Source organism: Homo sapiens, chromosome 21 (genome assembly GCF_000001405.40).
Source record: "Homo sapiens chromosome 21, GRCh38.p14 Primary Assembly".
In the NCBI taxonomy this organism is placed as follows: Eukaryota; Metazoa; Chordata; class Mammalia; order Primates; family Hominidae; genus Homo; species Homo sapiens.
Genome location: NC_000021.9, coordinates 46,113,016 through 46,131,789, shown reverse-complemented (window position 1 = coordinate 46,131,789; position 18,774 = coordinate 46,113,016). Strand labels below are relative to the sequence as shown.

At 61.7% G+C, this 18,774-nt stretch overlaps 1 protein-coding gene across 3 annotated transcripts in view; it reads right to left on the bottom strand.

Moving 5' to 3' along the window:
- The window catches only part of COL6A2 (collagen type VI alpha 2 chain), a 34,737-nt gene that overhangs the window by 1,059 nt on the left and 14,904 nt on the right, over positions 1–18,774 (bottom strand). The window contains exons 5-28 of one of the 3 annotated variants that reach the window (NM_058175.3): positions 17,717–17,782; positions 15,865–15,918; positions 15,737–15,781; positions 15,387–15,413; positions 15,113–15,139; positions 14,976–15,020; positions 14,337–14,390; positions 13,854–13,916; positions 13,114–13,176; positions 12,671–12,760; positions 11,940–12,002; positions 11,213–11,275; positions 10,667–10,729; positions 10,172–10,234; positions 9,632–9,682; positions 9,259–9,294; positions 8,853–8,915; positions 7,077–7,139; positions 6,870–6,905; positions 6,479–6,524; positions 6,173–6,325; positions 5,553–6,005; positions 5,249–5,287; positions 1,989–2,887 (exon numbers count right to left, since the gene is read on the bottom strand). In NM_058175.3, the coding sequence (NP_478055.2) occupies positions 2,862–2,887; positions 5,249–5,287; positions 5,553–6,005; positions 6,173–6,325; positions 6,479–6,524; positions 6,870–6,905; positions 7,077–7,139; positions 8,853–8,915; positions 9,259–9,294; positions 9,632–9,682; positions 10,172–10,234; positions 10,667–10,729; positions 11,213–11,275; positions 11,940–12,002; positions 12,671–12,760; positions 13,114–13,176; positions 13,854–13,916; positions 14,337–14,390; positions 14,976–15,020; positions 15,113–15,139; positions 15,387–15,413; positions 15,737–15,781; positions 15,865–15,918; positions 17,717–17,782 (1,752 nt within the window). In that variant the 3' untranslated portion in view covers positions 1,989–2,861. Of the gene's footprint in view, positions 1–1,988; positions 2,888–5,248; positions 5,288–5,552; positions 6,006–6,172; positions 6,326–6,478; positions 6,525–6,869; positions 6,906–7,076; positions 7,140–8,852; positions 8,916–9,258; positions 9,295–9,631; positions 9,683–10,171; positions 10,235–10,666; positions 10,730–11,212; positions 11,276–11,939; positions 12,003–12,670; positions 12,761–13,113; positions 13,177–13,853; positions 13,917–14,336; positions 14,391–14,975; positions 15,021–15,112; positions 15,140–15,386; positions 15,414–15,736; positions 15,782–15,864; positions 15,919–17,716; positions 17,783–18,774 lie in introns of those variants that run through there. The other 2 variants (NM_058174.3, NM_001849.4) reach the window with 2 other exon arrangements.

Genomic DNA, 18,774 nt, shown 5'->3' with positions numbered 1-18,774 from the left:
AGCCCAAGACACTTTCAGGCGGCACTGCTGGGAGCCGCCATCTCCTCTGCTGGTGCTCCCAGGCCTGAGACCCTGACACAGGCCCCAGGCCCTGTCCACCTGCTGAGCACCATCCCTGCACAGGCTGCCCTCCTGGGAGGGAAGGGGCCCAAAGCATCCTTTCATGGCTCAAGAATTTGCTGCCCACAAAAGGGCCACTGTCTGTGTAGTGTGGGAGGTACTTAAGGAGGACCCTGGCTCTGACACCCCCAGCCTGACCCCTCAATCGCTGGGTCCCAGAGCTGCTCAGAACACCTAGAGCTGGCTGGGCCACGTCCCTCCCGGAAAGACCAGGAGCCCCTGACTCTTCTGATTGGCCATGGTGGGGAGCAGTGGGCACAGGGGCAGCCAGACCTTCTGTGGCAGCCCAGGTGGGTTCTGCCCTATGACTCTGTTACCAAGTGGGGCCCCCACCTGCCTGGGTGGTCACCAGCCCTGGGCATCGGGGACAGCTTGGGGGCCTGGCCATAGCCACAACCCAGGCCAGGCTGCCTACCACACGTGTGGGTGTCACGTGGGGCCAGAGACCACAGGACAGGACACGGACAGTCCTTGCGTGGACCTGGCCCTGTGGCCTCACCAAGACCTCAGCTCCTGGGATGGGGGAGGGGAGGGACAGAGCCAGTTTCCCCAAGGGTGTCTGCTTCTCAGCCCAACCCCTGGACGTCGTCACAGCTGGTACATGGACCCCCAGGAATGCACACAGAGGACCCTGACCCGAAACTCGGTTTCTGGGGGCCCTGGAGGTGCAACGGTCCAGCCCCGCAGGCAGTGAGCAAAGCTCTGAACACAGCAGGGTGACCTCACGCTGCACCGCAGCCTTCACAGAACGCTTGAGACATGGACGCCGTCTGAGCACGCACGAGCTGGCAGATGGGGTTCCCTCAGTGAGCTTATGAGTGACGCAGCTCATTCAGTGAAAGGAAGGGCAGCCTCCCTGTTAAGGCCACACCTAGGAACCGGCTTAAATGTCCAGAAACTCCTCAGGTACCGCTGGGCTTCCCAAACCCCCTCAAAACTAATAACATTTTCACTGCTGTCACCAAACATATGGAGACAGACATGCAAGGGGCAGCTGGTTTTGGGGGTCTCTGTCCATTCATCAGTGTCTGTGGGGCCTGGAGGAGACGGGGAAGCTGTGGGGGCCGGCCAGGCACAGGGAGGCTGAGGCTGTTGGGATGTCTGTGGACTCTGCTCTCCTCCTCCTGTGGAGGATCCTTCATCCCCACAGTGGGAAGACCAGCCTGGCCTGCCCTGTGCAGTGGGTGTGGGGACGAGAACCTGGCCCTGAGAAATGGTCACAGCCGTGCCCGGCAGGAGCCCAGCCTGGATGAGGGCTCCTGCAGTCAGAACGTCGGGGTCAGCTCGCCGTGGGGGCCGCTCCCTTTGGATGGTGATCCCTGCCGCTCCCCAACATTGTGGACCCTGGGATTCTCTGCTCAGTCCTCTGAGGACCGCAGAGGTTGTGCCTGGTGGATGCTCCCCCGACTGTGCTTTTGGAGACCCAGAGGTTGGGCTGGAAGGGTGCAGACACCCCGGGATCAGGGCTGCTGGCAGGCAGCTGTGGCCATTCGCCCTACTGTGCATGACACCAGCCCAGATACGTCATGGTGCCAGGACTGCCAGCTTCCCCCAGGACTATCTGCTGCCCAACCGGAAGCCTTCACCTGCCACCAGGTGGGCCGTGAGCGCCCACGAGTCACCATGCACGGGATTAGTGCCCACACCCAGCGAGGCTCACCAGCCTCTGGGGCCTGTTTCCGAGGCTCCGCTGGAACCTGGTGCTGGAACATCCTCCAGCACCTGGGCAGCACCCTCCCTCAGCCCCATCCCAGACGCACGGCAGCCCAGCTGGGCCGCTAAGTAAGGGCCTCCAAAGACTTCCACACCCAAACCCTGGAGCCTGTGAGGGTGACCTGATGCAGCAAAGAAGGACTCTGCAGACGGGAGTGAGTTAAGGGTCTTGCGAGGTCATTCTGGACTTGGGGTGGGCCTTAAATTCAATGACCAGGGTTCTTATAAAGAGAGCGGCCACAGGAAGACGGAGGAGAGACTGGAAGATGCAGCCGCAGCAAGGGACACGGTGGCCACCAGCATGGGAAGAGGCTGGGAGCTGCCCCAGAGCCCCTGGAAGGACTGTAGCCCCGCTGACCCCGATTCCAGATCTCTGGCCTCCACTGAGAGCCAGCCTGTCGGGGGCAGCCCTGGGAAGCTAGTGTGGCAGGGAGGGCCCAGCCCGGCTGGGCGGGTGCCCGGGCTTTAGCAGAGGGCCAGCGCGGTCTCGGGGTCCCCCACGATGTCCCTGTGCACCAGCTTAAAGGTGTCAATGAACAGCTCCATCCAGTCCTGCCGCTCTACCCCGGTGGCGAACTTGGCCCGCTCGGCGGTGTAGACCAGCACGGCCACCAGCTGGGAGTAGGCGGCCGGGTCCTGCGTGAGCTCCGTGGCGTTTAGCAACTGTTGGATCAGGGGAATGGTCCTGGGGAAGGTGGCGTCCGGCCCCTCTTCCGTGCGGAGGAAGGTGACCGGGGGCTCGCCGCCAGGCCACGGTGCATCTGCAAGGGAGCGTCCAGAGAAGACTGTAAGGCCTGCGGTGGGCGTCGGCCTAGAGCTCCTCCTCGGGCAGCCGCTCAGCGAGGCCAGAGTGAAGAGCGGCATTTGGGCTGGCGAGTCGGTAGAGGAAATGCAGGTGGAGCGGGTGTGTGGCTCGGCCTTGGCAGGAGGCGTGGGGGCAGTGAGCACAGGGACAGGAAGCTGGCAGGGAGCTAGGAGACCCGCACGGTGGCACCTTTGGGGGACACCACGGACCCCGAGAAAACCTTTCAGCACAAAACAGCTCCGTCCAAACCTGTGCCGGAGACAGGCCAAACTCCAGTAGGGCTTCCAGTGCCGCAGGCCCGTCGCCAGGAAGACCCCAGCCACCCCTCAAGAGCCCGCCTGAGAAAGCTTGCGGTGGTAAACCCTTCCTCAGCCTCTCTGGGATGTGAGTCCTCTACACCCAGAACTGTCTTCCCCTGAGCAGACCTGGCCTCTGCAACGTCTCTGCCTTTTCTTTCCACCGACTGGAGCTCAGGTTACGCTGTGGCCCCTATGCAGCTCTTATCGCTGATTGCGCCCTGCCCTGACTGCCTTCAGCTGCGTCTGGTTTGTTTCTCCAGCACCCTCTGGTCCCCACGCAACTGAGAACTCCACAGGCCTGCTGCAGGCCCAGGGTGGCTGGGCTTTGGGGTGGACAGGGCTGTCTGGAGAAGGCCAGGGCCAGGCCACAGCCAGTGGTGTCCACCCAGTGCCCAGGAGGGCCGAGGAGGATGCCTGGCCGTGTGGGCTGGTGAAAGCCGATTTAACACTGTCCCTGCTGCATCTCCTGGAGCCACAAGGTCGAGTTCACTTTGAAATTGGAAACAGCTGGGAAGGAGGATGAGCTCTGAGTGTCGGGGATGAGGTGTCAGGGCGGCCGAGAGGAGGGGAGGGGTTCTGCCAGGGCTGCTCCCACTCACTGTCAGGTCCTGGAGGCCTCAGAAGAGGCCAGAGCTTCAAGGGCCTCCGTGTCCTCCCTGGCTGCTTTCCCTGTGGTGCTCTGGTGGCCTGAGTGACCCACTCCCAGGAGGGAGAATGGGCTCACTCCATGTCACCGTCTGGGGAGGAGCCACCACAGGACCCTACGAGGCCCACGTCACCCTGAGGCCAGAACCAGAGAGATCACGAGAAAAGAAAAGTGCAGGCTGATGTCGCCGATAAGCGCAAACCCTCAGGCAGGCATCAGCGAATCAGGGCCCACGTGCATAAACAGGGCCACACACCACGGCCAGGTGGGTTTATCCCGGGCACGCAGGGCTGGCTCAACACTGGAAATTCAATGACGCTCAACGGGCTAACTAACTCCCAACTACAATGATAGGCTAAAGAGGAAAGGTCACGTGACATCCACAGACGCAGCACCCACCCACTCACGATAGAACCTGGAGTGGAGGGGAAGCCATAGCGGCCACTCACACTGGACCCAGAGTGGAGAGGAAGGCCCCCCACCTGATAGCAAAGCACCCACAGTGACCATCGCCATGTCGCCCATCATGGGGTCCCGAGACTTCCCTGCCCCATCAGGAACGAGGGGGTGGGTGGAGGAGCCAAGGTCTGGTTCCTGCCCTCAGGGTCCAGGTGCCCCTGCTGCTGATGTGGACCCTGGGGGAGGACGCCTGCACCTTGGCGGCAGAAGCACAGCCCACTGTTGTGGGGCCAGAGGCTGCCCGCCTGCTGAAGGGCAGCCAGACCCAGGTGCAAGCCCTAGGTTCTCTGTCGCAGCACGTATGGGGAACCTCGGCTCTGAGTCCACGGCTCCTCCCCTGGGGCAGCCTCAGGGCCTGTGAATGTGCTCAGTGGCCCAGCTCACCCACCGGGAGCTCCCCATGGAACGCCCGAACGCACACCGCGACCCGCGTGCTGAGGAAGCGCTGACTTCGTACCGCAGACCCTGAGGTTTCCTCCCTGTGGTCCTCCAGGTCGGACCCTCCCACCCTGTCTCCATGGCATCCCTACCCTCACACTCCTGGAGGGGACGGCTCACTGAGGGGGACTCAGCTCCTAACGCCCCCGGGGACCTCCTGTGGGCCCAGGTACGGTGCAGCAGTGCACCATGGGGGCAGCACCACGTCCAGCAGAGCCTGGACGGCACCCCCAGCTCCAGCTTCACACCCACGTGGGCCACATCCGGGACATGGGCTCCCCCACTCCCAGAGATGTGAGAGCCGCAGCTGCAGCTCCGAGGCAGGCCAGGGTTGGAGCAAGACCTGCTGGTGCTGGGGGGTGTCAGTGCTTCCACCCCGGGATGGTTTCACTCACTGAATCCAGGGCTTCCTCCGAGTGGCACATGCACGGCCAGCCCATGGGAGCTGGGCGGCAGCTGAGGGAGACTGCAAGGCCCATGGTGGGCCTTCAAGACCAGTGGCCACATGCCGAGCACAGCGCCAGGCTAGCAGCACCCACCTCATGGCCTCGTGATGCTGTTCCTGCGTTCCTGGGAGCCTGCCTTCCCCAAGCCCCTCCTCCCCTGTGCTGCCATCCTGGGGCCATCTCCCTAAGGAGCAGCCTCCGCAGTGGCTCCGCCGCCCCCCGGGTCCCTGCACGGCCCCTCCCCCAGCCCGGCCCTCGAGGAGGAAGGACACCAGGGCTGCTTTGCTAGTCTGGGGTGGTGGCTCAGGGTGCCCTGCATTACCTGTTTGGCAGGGAAGGTCTGGGCACACGATCTGAGGGTCTGGAAGAGAGGAGAGAGGCCGGGCCAGGCCAGGGTCAGTCCCTAGCGAACCCTCAGCGGCCGTTCACTGATCTGCCTAGACAGGCTCAGGGTGCAGCTGGCCTCTGCCCTGCAGCCCCGAGAGGGCCCGACCCCTTCCCACCCACAGCCCAAGATCCTGGGCTGCACATTCATCCCTCAGGTGAGGGGTGTCCCTGGGGCTCACGCTAGACAGCGGCTGGGGCCTGCTGCTCCTCGGCCGACTGCCCCGCGCCCACACGCTCACCCGGGCAGAGGACGTCCTCCATGTCATCGATGAACTTCTCAGCGACCAGGTCGGAGAACAGCGTCATGTTGCGCACCTGCTGTGGCTTGTCGCAGGCGATGGAGTAGAGGTTTTCACTCTCGTGCTTCTCGTGGAACATGTCCCCGATGCCGATGGCCGTCACTGTGACGTCGCGGTCGCACAGCGCCCGCAAGTTGAGGTCATCGTCCCGAGGGTCGTGGCGCCCGTCCGTGATGACCACCGCAAACACACGTGTCTTCTGGCGCCGGCTCTCCTTGATGAGGCGGTCGTAGGCAAACTTGAGGGCTGAGGGTGTCCAGGTGCCGCCCGCAATCCACTCGAGGTTCTTGACAGCCTCCTTGAAGCTCGACAGGGAGTCGATACGTTCGTCGTCCAGCTGGATGGCCTCAAAGGTGCCCTCGTGGCTGTACTGCACCACGCCCACACGCGTCCCTGCAAGCCGCACGCGTGAGGTCGTTGCCAGAGGCCTCGGGGTCTGGGGCATCCCCAGCCATGCAGAGGCCCTCGTTGGAGGGACGCGTCTGGACTTCTCCCATCTCATCGCCTCCCACGCCCCGCCCGGCCCCCCGCAATGCTGCACCCGCCCCTGCCCCGCTGACCTGTCTCGGACTTGGGGTCCTTAGCGATGGCACCCAGCCTGTTGACCACGTTGATGACGAAGTTCTTCTCCAGTGTGAAGTTGGTGTACCCAATGCTCTCGGAGCTGTCGATGACGAAGACCACGTCCAGGGCGCCACAGCGCTTCTCACAGTCTGGGGGGGTGGCAGGGTCATCGGGGGGTACCGGGGAGACCTCAGACCCTAGGGTCACGTGCACATGCAGGACCCAGCGATGACCCAGCCCTGCTGCACTCCCGCCCTCCACCCGGTGCATGGGCCCCGACCCTGCCGTGGGCAGTGCCTCACCGCAGCACCCGCAGGTCTCCCTCACGTAGGTCATGACGTCACACTCCTGCAATGCACACGGCAGGCAGGGTAGTCCCCCCGGGGCCCCAGAAGAGTTTCCACAGCAAGGTCCTGGCCTGGGGGTCCCGGGACATTCCAGCCCACGTGTGGAGGCAGCCATGCGGGGAGGCTGGCGGGTCCTGTCCCTACCAACCTCGCTGCCACCCTCCTCCCCCCACCAACCTTGCCCTGTGACCTTCCCCAACCAAGCTTGCTCTCTGACCTTGCCCTCTGACCTCCTCCACTGATCTTGCTCTCTGACCGTGCCAGCTGACCTTCCCCCACCCCTGCTGCTCTTGGTGTCTAGTTTTGGCAGGAGAAGGACACTGGTTCTGCCCCATGTGACACCTACCGTGAGACCGGGGTCTCCAGGGGGGCCGGGCTCACCCTGGGGAAGGAAGGATGAGGCTGAGACTCTGGGGCCAAGGCTGGGTGGCTGAGTCTCTCCCAGGCCACTGCCCACTGATACGTGGGTCCACCGTGGGCAGAACCACGAGGCTTGGGTGTGTGTTGGCCTGGCAGGTTGGGGGGAGGGCATGGGGACTGGCCACCAACCTACCTCGGGTCCTGGGACTCCTCTTGGCCCCCGAGGGCCTGGCTCACCAGGGGGACCAGGATCCGCCTGAGAAGGAACAAGAACAGGTGGGCTTCAGTGGCCCCAGGGACAGTCCCTGCACACAGCAGGGCCCCCTGTGCTGTCCCCAACCACGGGTCCTCCCTTGGCGGGGGGGGGGGCTAACAGGTGCAAGGAGTAAGACAAGGCTGTGCCTCCTCCTTCCCTATGCTGGCACCAGAGCTAGAAAGGCCATGAGTGGCCACCGTCAGAGCCTGGCCCACCAGAGGGGTAGGGGCCTGGCAGAGCTGGGTGTCCCAGAAATAGCAGCCAAAACAGCTCATTCCAATCCATGGGTATTCCACCCCATTATCATGTACCCACCAACTCCACGCCCACCCATCCACCCATTCGCCCATTCGCCCAATCACCCATCCATCTATCCACCCAGCCACCCACTAACCCATCCATCCATCCACCCAGTCACCCATCCATCATCCATCCACCCAGCCACCCACTAACCCATCCATTCATCCACCCATCCTCTGTCCACCCACCCATCTATCTATCCACTCACTTACCCATCTATCCATCCACCCACCCACTCACCTGTCCGTCCATCCTCTACCCACCCACCCATTCATCCATCGGTCCATCCGTTCACTCATCCATCCACCCACTGTCCGTCTGTCCATCCACTCATTCACCTAACCATCCATCCACCCACCTACCCATCCCCCCACTCACTCACATACCCATCTATCCACTCATCCACCCATCACCTACCCAACCATCCATCCTCTATCCACCCACCCATCCATCTATCCACTGACTCACCCATCCATCCATCTGCCAACCCACTAACTCATTCATCCATCCATCCTTTATGCACCCATCCATTCATCCACCCACCCACTAACCCATCCATACATACACCCACTCACCCATCCATCCCCCCACTCATCCATTCAGCCATCCATCATCTAACCACACACTCGCCCACCCACCCATCCATCTACCCACCTACCCACCTACTCACCCATACATCTACTCATTCACCCATGTATCCACTTATCCATCCACCCACCCACTCATCCAGCAATCCATCCATTCATCCATCTTCTATCCACCCACTCTTCTATTCACTCATCCATCCATCACCCATCCTCCCATCCATCCATTTGCCCACCCCCATCCACTTGCCCATCCATCCATCGTTATCCATCCCTTGTTTTGTGCTCAGTTCCAGACCAACCTGCAGCCCTGGTTAAACCCTTGGCCAGGCTAGGGATTTGGAGGCACAGAGCACCTTCTGGGGGATAACTGTGGGGAGGACATTGGGGAGGGAACCCTTGGGGAATGCTGTGTGTAGGAACTCTGAGGGGGATGCTATGTGGAGGCATCTTTTGGGGGAGGGGACTCTGGAGGGGATGCTATGTTGGGGTCGCTGGGGAGGGGACCCTGGTGGGGGATGCTGTAGTGGGGATGCTGGGAGGGGACTCTGGGGGGATGTTGTGGAGGGGTCACTAGGGAGGGGACCCTTGTGGGGGATGCTGTGGGGGGGATGTTGGGGGGTCACTGGGGAGGGGACGCTGGAAGGGAGGCTGGGTTGAGGGAGGGGGCCCCTGAGCCAGCCGTTCCCTTTAGGAAGGTGGGGGTGGTGCTCATGGCTGGGGCCAAGCTGCCTGGCGTTCTCCTGTACTCATAGATGCACACGCTCAGCCTCAGGGCCCCTCCCTGCCTCTGCCCAGCTGCTGTGGGCTTCGGGACGGTGACACTCACAGGCTCTCCTTTCTCTCCTTTCCTCCCAGGTTCTCCTTTCAAGCCAAAGTCGCCTCGGCCTCCCTGTGACAGGGAACACATGTTAGCCTGGGACAGAGGAGCTGTCTCTACCAGGGACACCAGTGAGATTTTTATGTGGAAAAATCGATCTGGCATTTTGGGGTCCTTTAAACGGGAGCATCTATGTGGTTTTTTTGCAAAGCCTGAACTTTGGTTGAAAAGGGACCAGCCAGTGGCTGACAGCTCCCCCAGAGCTCAGCATAGGTGACATGGCTGGGCCTTGGGGAGCCAGGACCATCTCAAGACAGGGGTGGTCCTGTCAGTGACGGTGGGCATTGTGTTCCCAGCAATTGGGCGTGCAGACCCCCACCCTGGGTGGGCACAGGTGGCCAGGACCCACACATACCTCGGGGCCGCGTGGGCCGGGCTCGCCTTTTTCTCCCTGTGAAGCAAACAGAAGCCAGGGTGACTCAGCCTCAGATCCCAGTGCTCCTTCCTCCCTCTGGGCAGCTTTCTGCAGCCCCGTTTCCCTCCCTCGCTCATTCACACTCTGGGTGAGGCCACTGTGCTGCGTTCTGAGCTGTGCTCTTTTCCTGATGCTGGGCTGGACCTATCCTTCACTGAGTCACCCGAAGCCTTCTCACCACTCTGTCCCGCAGGAGGGACCTCACACTTTCTTCTGCACAGAGGAGGCCTTGAGGGAACTACTAGGAATCTTCAGGGCCCTTGGGACAATGTCCACCCACTCCTGGGAGCTGCCATCCCAGGCTGTGACTCACGGGTGCTCCTCGGGGTCCTGGGTAGCTGAATCCAGGCCTGCCGGGGTCTCCCTGGAGGAGGACGTTGAGTCGGTCAGCATGGTCATAGGACGGGGTGGGGCTGGGGGGCTGTGCTCAACAGGGCGCAAGGTGCACACTGGGGTGGAAGTGGGCTAGGGGTGCCGTCGAGTTCTGGCTGTGAGCAGAGGCCTGGCAGGGCCAACCTCGCCCTGTCCACCTCCAGTGGGGGCTGGACGTGCCTAGAGACCCGAAGCCTGCCCACACGCGGGGAGGACCCTACTCAGGCCACGTAGCTGCCCTCAGGCCCTGCCTCAGGAAGGATGTGCCATGCACACCCAAGGGTCACTGCTGAAGAGGAGAGCCAGGGGGGCTTCCTGGACCCCGGAGGCATCCCCTCACTCCAGAGCTGAGAACAGGAGGCACAGGCCCGTCCTGAGGCACGTCTGCCGGCAACAGGGTCCCCCAGGCCGGCCCCCTGTCCTGCTCCTCAGGCAGCTGCCCCGAACCCCTAATACGTCCTGCTGGGGGAGGGGCACGTACCTTGGGGCCTGGCTGTCCTGAGTCTCCACGGGGTCCTGCATCACCGGGGTCTCCCCGAGATCCCTGAGGGCAGGAGAGAAATTCAGAAGTCAGCACAGGCAGGGACTGGCCATGCCCAGGGGTCACCTGACATGCCCCGTCCAGCCCTGACCACCAGGCCACATGGCCGCAGCTCCTCCTGCTGCCTGTGGGGGCCGTGGACCTCTGTCTTGAGGGTCCCAGCTCCTCCTTTCCCTGTGGCCCATCCAGGACCTCAGGCCCACTGCCTTGCCCCTGACTCCACAACCTGGGTCCTTCAGGGCAGGATGGGGGGCTGGGGCTGAGGGTGGGTATGAGGTACTCGGGGTCTAGGGGAGCAGGTCCTGGCTTCTGAGGCCAGGCTCTGCTGCCTGGGTTTGCTATGGGGACAGTGGCTAGCTCCAGGCTGTCCCCACATGGATAGGGGAGACCCACCCGTGGGGTCAGAGGGCACCGGCCTCCTGCACTGACACTGACCTGCTTTCCGGGCTCCCCAAGAGCTCCCTGGGGGCCTCTGGGTCCAGGCAAGCCTCGGTCTCCCTGGAAGAAAGGGGAGGAATTTGGGGTTCTCTTGACTGACAGCAGCACCCTGGAGTCCCCAGTATCAATCCTGTGGACACTGCAGGGCCTCGGGGGTAAGACGGGTCTGGCCCCGGCCCCTATGACCCTCCCCGGAGGCTGTGGCTCCACTTGACCTTCAGCCCTGAGCACACTGAGTGGAGTAGGCTGGGTTCTGGGTGTAGCCCCTGCCTAAGCACCCCTATCTTGGGTTGCAGCCCTCACCTGGGTCCCCTACTTTGGGGTGCAGCCCTTGCCTTGGTCCCTTACCTTGGGGTGCAGCACCCGCCTGGGTCCCCTACCTTGAGGTATAGCCCTCACCTGGGCCCCCCTTACCTTGGGGTGCAGCACCCACCCGGGTCCCCTACCTTGGGGTGCAGTCCCGGCCACCCTACCTTGGGGTGCAGCCCCCCTGCACCCCCTCAGATCCCCTACCTTGGGGTGCGGCCCACCCTGCTCCCCTACCTTGGCTCCTTTGTTGCCAACCTCTCCAGCCAGGCCGCGGGGCCCCTCAGGGCCAGGGTCCCCCTGTGGGAAGGGAAGGGAGGCCCCACGGGTCTCAGCTGAGGCCTCCGGCCTGGGTCCCATGTGAGAGGCGGGTGTGGCCGGGGGTTGGGGAAGGGGGCCTGGGAGGAAGAACCCCGTCTGTCCCGGGGGACCTGCAACAGTCGCCTGTTTCACCCATAGCTCCTTCCCGGTGCCTGTAGCTGCCGCTCTGAGCACGGTGTCTCTCGGTCCCCCTGAGGCCACCCACACGTGGGTAGGACCTCGTCCACTTCCTGGGAGGAAGCCCCTTCACCTGATGTCAAGGGGAGCTGGTGGCCGGGGTTTTACCACACAGCCCTTCAGCATCACCCCTGAGGTCACGTGGGTGAGCAATGCCTCAGTGGGCTGGGGGTAAGAGGTGCCTCAGTGGGGGCCGGGGGGTGTGAGTGGTGCCTCAGTGGGCCGGGGGTGAATGGTGCCTGCACAGCTGTGCGGGGTGTGCCTGGGTGGGTAGTGGAGCTTCCTCAGCAGAGAATGGGGTGTGGGGATCTCAGGGCTGCATTCCCAGACTCTGCAGAGAGTGAACTCTGGAGAGTGAGGCCCTGGGGTTCTGTTGTTCTCTGGGAGGAATGGGGTTGGGGCCCTCGTCAGCAGGGCCCATGGGCACCACAGTGAGACCCTGGGCTGCCTCCACACGAGGACTCACCTTCTCCCCCTTGGGGCCATCGCTGCCTGGGCTGCCCTTGGTGCCGGGGTCTCCCCTGCGCCCCTGCAGAGAACAGGCGTGTGGGTGAGGGAGGGGGCTGAGTCCAAGCCCAGAGCCTGTGGAGGGTGGGGGCTGTGCCGGGGCCGATGCTCCTTCTCTACAGGAGGGCTCTGGCTTTGGGACCTGGGACCTCGATCCCCAGGCTCCTTCCCAACAGCCTCAGCCTGCGCCAGTGGCTCTGCTGCCAGCCCTCGTCCCTCTGCTGCGTCGGTCCCGCCCATGCCGAGGATTTAGGAATGATCTGGGGAGGCTCCAGGTGGAGTTGGATGTCTGGTGAGTGGCGTTTTAGGTGATGGGCTGGGGCCTGGTGGGGACCTGGTGCTGTCCAGTCACTGCGGTCACTCCCAGGCAGGCCCCATGCTCAGACAGAGTCCCCTTGGAGTGGTCAGCACTGGGACGGGCCCTGCTCAGCCCTCACAGGATGCCCTGGGCAGCTGGTGCTGGGTTTAGGGAACACCATGGAGGACCTGCCTGGGCTTTACCTCTAAGTCCAGCTCTGGGGGGTCCCGTGGGGTGGTCCGGGTCCACTTCTTGGGAGGATGGGGGCCTGGCTGTGCCTTGCCAGCAGGGGATCCTGCCTACAGCCCAGGTGCCCTTCCCCCATGGTCCTCCTCAAGCTGCAAGGAGGATGCCCAGAGCGGGGCCCTGAGGCAGGGGCAGGAGGGACTCACCGGCTCGCCTTTGGGTCCGCGGGGCCCAGGCCCGCCCTTGGCTCCTTTCACACCAGGACTTCCTGGGGCTCCACTGTTGCCTTGATACCCCTGAAGAAGGAGAGGACAGCACAGTCACCCAGAGGCAGGGGCCCTGAGGCATGGTCACGCCTGTGCGGTGTGTGGTGTGGAGCCCCTATTATCTTCCAGCGGAATCTGCTTGCCAGGCACATGGGGGCCCTGCAGGGTCCCCTGGAACTTGTTCAGCCTCGTGAGGAGGGCACAGGTCAGAGGGGCTGGTGGCTCAGGGCACATGGCCTGTTCTTCCTGTCCCTCCCCGTGTCCCCAGAGCCCAATGCGGCACCATGGTGACAGCAGAGATGGTGGCCAGCGTGACTGTTCATCTGGGCCATGGGCGTGAGTGTGGCCAGCTCAGCTGCAGGCGAAGAGGCAGAGGGGCTCACCTTGCTTCCCTTGGCCCCGATTTCTCCCGGGGGCCCTCTGCGTCCTGGGCGGCCAGGGTCCCCCTGGAAGGGTTTGCAGAATCAGCCTCACGTCTTTTGGCAGGGGAAGGGGGGTGCAGGATGCCCGCTGCGGGGGCAGGACCCACGGTCGGGCTTGGGACTGCACCTCCCTGATGTCCACGGGGCACCTGGGATGCCAGATGCTGGCTGGGGGCTGCTGGAACCTCCGTGCCAGCTGAGGGCAGAGTGTGTGTCACGGGCAGGACGCCTGTGCATCTGCTCAGAGGACTCAGCCAGACTTGGGCTTGGGCTGAGGGAAGGTGGACAGAAAGTGGGAAGCCCTAAGTCCAAGCTCCCAGAAAAAAGCCCTTGGGGATCCTGGGGCCGCCAGGGGCGGGGCGACACTGCAGGCGGCCCAGGAGGGCAGAGCCCCTGGGGCACCAACGTTCCCATGGGGAGCTCCAGGAGGTGTGGGTGGGGCTCCCTGGGGCTCCACCTGGGAGGAGGTGGGTTTGTTGCCGAGGCCTCGGTGAGCAGCGGCGGGGCCGCCCAAGCCCTGGTTAGAAGCTGATGAAGCAACGGGCAGGGCACCCTCCACCACATCCCACGGCCATTGGCTCCTCACTGACCAGTGTTTCCAGAAAGGCCCTCTCTGCTCAGCTTCTCAGCTGGGGCTGCCTCCAGGAGGCCCCTGGAAGCTGGTGACCCCGCCTGCCCCGTACCCTGACAAGGCCACTTACCTTGCCGCCTTGGTCTCCTCGCTCCCCTGGACTCCCTGCTTCCCCCGGGTAACCGTCGGGGCCCTGAGAGAGGAGTGAGAGGTGGAGCTCGGCACACGGCGGGTGGGGTTCTCCCCATGAGCCAGGGCCCAAGTGCTCCATTGTCCCAGCCCGGGACGCACCTCCCACCCTCACTGTGAGGCCCAGGCTCAGTGACCAAGAGGCCAGGCCTGGATCTGCTGCTCAGGGAAATGGAGCTGTCCAGTGACACCGAAGTTTGGGATGCATCAGGTCTCCAGGCCACGGGGATCCGCCAGGAGCTCCCAGGGGGAGTTCCTCACATGACTCCGACCCGGCAGAATGCTGGGCTGGGGCTGCTGGGCTGGGGCTGCTGGGCTGCCGGGAGAACCCACGCTCCCACTGCAGCAGCAACTACCCTCCCACCCGGTCAGGCACCCACACCCCCTGGGCCGAGGCTGAAGGAGGGGTGCAAACGGCCCTTACCCGGTTTCCAGGGTCTCCCTTGCAGCCAGGAGGTCCGATGCGCCCCAGCTTGCCCTGAAGGAGAAGGGGGCAGGAGGAGTCTCAGGGCGGGGTTCTGGGGTCCATGTGTGCCAACGACCAAGACACAGCCCACCCGGTTCTGCCCCGCAGGGCTGCAGCGCTCTCCTCCTGGCACACGGGTGCCCACATGAGGCCACGGCTGCTGTGGAGCTGTCTCCGGGGAGGCAGAGTGGCCGTTGTGCAGGAACAGGCCATCCCTGGCTGCCTCCCAGAGGCCCTGAGGGCAGAGCTCCCTGGGCACAGAGGATGTTCCCACGGGGAGCCATGGAAGGAGTGGGTGGGGCTGTCCTGTGGTTTGACCTGGGAGTGGGTAGGCTTGTTGCTGGCCTCTGTGTGCAGCTGTGGAGCTGCCCCAAGCCGGGATGTGCAGCCATGAATTAGATGCAGGCTGGTGAAGCCCTGGGTGGGGCAGTGGGATGTGGCAGGAGCTGAAGTTCGTGTGTGTGTGTGTGTGTGTGTGTGTGTGTATGCGTGTGTACACATGTGTAAGCTGACAGATCAGGCTGGATCTGGGGGCCCTGCAGAGGCTGGGATGCCTCTGTGAGACCAGTCCAGCTGTGAGCCCGAGGCTCCCTCTACCTTCTGTCCATCGGTCCCGTTCTTGCCAGCCAGGCCAGGGGCCCCCTGAAGAGAGAAGGAAGAGGGAACTCCATTAGCCCCGGTCCTTCTGCCCTGAGCAGCAGGAAGGAGGGGCTCTGCCTACCCAGCCAGCCTACCTTGCGACCGTCGGCTCCAAATTCACCCTGTGTAGGAGGAAAGCCGGCGCAGTGAGCTCGGTGCCTCAAAGCATCATGGGCACTGCTGCCTCTGGGGGGCAAAGCCCTTGGGCCAAACTCAAGGCCACAGGACCCCCCAGGAGCCCCCAAAGCCACCACTGAGAAAAGACCAGGCCGGTGCCCCAGGAGCAGTGACAGGCTGCGGCGGACGCCAAGAGGTGGGTCTGGGCCGAGGCTGGCGCAGGTCTGAGGTCTGTCAGGGCAAGAGCCTCACCTTCTCTCCTTTGAAGCCAGGAACGCCCTGGGGGCAGGAGGAGAGAGGGGCATTAGTGAGGAGCTCTGCAGAGACACAGGCAGGGAAGGGCCAGCCCTGCAGGCTGAGGGGAGTGCTCGGTGGGCCGCTGGCATCTAGTGTTCTCGACAAACAGTCTGCGGAGGAGGCTGAGCCCTGGGTCGGGCTGGAGGCTGGGTTTTGGGACGGCCATCAAGTTATCGAGGTGCTTCTGTTCCTTGGTAACTGGGGGGAGGGTCGTAGAGGCTGAGGCCGAGGCTGGGCTGGGGGGAGCCTGCCTGGCAGTGCTGGGGCCTCAGGGTGGAGCCAAGCCCCTGGCCGAGGTCACTCACCTTGGGTCCTGGGAATCCAATGGGGCCTTCGATGCCCGGGTCTCCCTGTGAAGGACAACGCAGCAGTGTGAGCCCAGCCCTGGGGCGCTGGGCTGCAGGCGGGGCGGGCGTGGGGCAAGGACACTCACCTGTCTTCCCTTCTGGCCAGGCTCTCCCGGCTCACCCATGTTGCCCTTGGCACCCTAAAAGCAGAGAAAAGAGTACATCGAGGCAGGGTAGGGTGGGCGGTAGGCAGCTGGGGACCCTGCCACAGCTCCTCTGAGAGGTGACACAGCAGAGGTTACTGATTCCCCTGCCCAAGTGGAGAAGTCTTGGTGTCAGCTGCTCCCCAAAGGGCCAGCCTCTGTCAGACAAGGGTTTGCTTTGACCCATTTCTCCCAGCTCTGAGGGAAGCTTCCCACAAAGCCACCTGCAAAATGGAGCCAGAAGAGACCCCTGGGGTGGGGGTGCCTGGCCCGTGGGGGTCCCTTCTGCACCCAGTAGCTGTGACTGTGGCCAACACTGGGCTCTGATTCTCCAGCGATGCCTGGGTCACCGTCACTACAAAGATTAATTCCTTTATCTAAGTAACTTTAGACAGATCAGGACTTCAGAACACCACATAAAGGTTACACTCTCTTGGAATTAAAATTTTAACCTATGATACAGAACTTTATTAAATAAATTCATCTATTTATTGATATGCTCCCAATTTAAGTGCAAAGAGGAGCAGAGGAAAGGGGAAGAATTAAGAGGTCAAAAGGAAGAAAAGGGAGGAAACTCAGGGCAGGGGATGAGGTGGGCAGAGGCTTCTGGAACATCACAGCTGTGCCCTGTCCTGGGCTCCGCTTGGCACCTTGCCACCCCTCAAACTCTAACCACAGTGATCCCTGTGGCAGCTTCCAGTGGCCCCCCCAACAGAACGGGTCACTGCACTGCTGTGTGCAGCCAAGGCTGCCCCAAGTGGCAAATTCATTCCCAGCTGTAGTAGGGTCGGCATTGCCACCAGGACTGGAGAAGCCAGGGAGGGAGATGGCAGGATTTGACCTGCAGCCTCGAGATGTCTCATCCTGGAGAAAGTACATCCAGATACCTACTGGTCTAGACAGCTGTTATCCAAATTTAGAAAAACACGAAGCTACGTAGCAGTAACATCCTCTATGATGGTCAATTCCTTATTTCATCTCCTTAGAAGCTACTTTCTCCTCCTATGCTTTTCTTTATAATTTTTAACAGATGTGAATTGTTGGAGTTTCACATACTCTGTTAGTGAGTTTTGGAAGGACTTTATTTGATGCACCTCTGTTAGGAAAATGCAGGGGATGTTCAAACCAGAAAATGCAGGGGACATTCAAACCAGGCTCCCTAAAACTGCTTATTTAGTAAGCCACAAAAGAGGTTCCTTCATATTAATGAGCAATCATATTATTAAGTGTAGTGCATCTCACATTTTACTTACTTGAATATGCTTGCTTACCAAAGTATTTTAATGGCATATCTCATTTTTTACAAGCTTCTGCTTTTCTCAATATACTATTTAAAAGGAATTAGACATATAGAGTTTTAGTTTCTCCAGGGACAGAAGTGTTGAGACAATTTGAGATACAGCTGGCCTTAAATGTGGCTTTCTTTTCTTTTTTTTTTTTTTTTGAGACAGAGTCTTACTCTGTTGCCCAGGCTGGAGTGCAGTGGCGTGATCTCTGCTCACTGCAACCTCCGCTTCCCAGGTTCAAGCGATTCTCCTGCCTCAGCCTCCCGAGTAGCTGGGACTACAGGCGCATGCCACTACGCCCGGCTAATTTTTGTATTTTTAGTAGAGACAGGGTTTCACCATGTTAGCCAGGATGGTCTCGATCTCCTGACGTTGTGATCCGCCCGCCTCGGCCTCCCAAAGTGCTGGGATTACAGGTATGAGCCACCACGCCCGGCCAAGTGTGGATTTCAAAACAAATCAGGGGCTTCCTGGTAGCGCAGACCCTGCAGGTAATCTGGGCATCTTACCTTCTGTCCACGGTAGCCCTTGGGGCCAGAGGGCCCAGGGATTTCCAGGCAGCTCACCTTGTAGCACTGAAACGAGGAAGCAGAGACAGAAGGTTGCATGGGTGGGACATTCCTCAGGTGGCAGGGCAGGGTCTCAGAACGTGTAGCCCACGACTCTCAGCAGGGGCCAAGGAGATGCTGAAATGCCCTGAGAACCTGGGCGGGCGTGAGGGAGCTGTGAGACATGGGGTGCTGTGAGGCTCTGCCCCCATCAGGGACAAGCCAAAGAGTTTGGCTCTCGGTCAGGTGTTCTAGGCAAGTTTAAAAAACCAAGCCTGGCTTAAGCCATGACAGAAAATAGAAGGGAAGAAAGGCCGGGTGCAGCTCACGCCTGGAATCCCAACATTTTGGTAGGCCGAGGCAGGGAGGACTGCTTGAGGCCAGGAGTTAGAGACCAGGCTGGGCAACATAGTGAGATCCCATCTCTACAAAAAAACAATACGAAAGCGATCCTCCCACCTCAGCCTCCCAAGTAGCTGGAACTACATGCGCACACCAGGTATGGTGGCAGGTGCCTGTAGTCCCAGCTACTTGGGAGGCTGAGGTGGGAGGATGGCTTGAGCCTCAGAGTTCAAGGCTGCAGTGAGCCGTGATCGTACCACTGCACTCCAGCCTAGGTGACAGAGAAAGACCCTGTCTCTAAAAAAACAAATATAAAAGAATAAATTTTACAAAAGGATGGAAGAGCAAGGGGCACTGGTGAGGGAGGCACCATTTGTACACGGCAATGAAACCACTGTTACTGAGCAGCGATTCTGAGGCAGGGCACGTTTTTGCAGGAAGCCTCACGGGGGAGATCTCAGATGCCTGCTCCCCTTCCTGAGAGCTGGAGCTGGGACACACAGGGAGGTGGGGATGTCATGGACCCCGATGATGTCAGTTCCTTCTCCCCTGACCTGCTGGGCTGGGCTCGGGCCTCGAGTCCAGGGTGGATGGATCCCACCTGCCCGGAGGCCAGACCCTCGACCTCTCCTTGTAACACGTGCTCTGTGGGTGACCCTAACGCTGACCCTCACGGG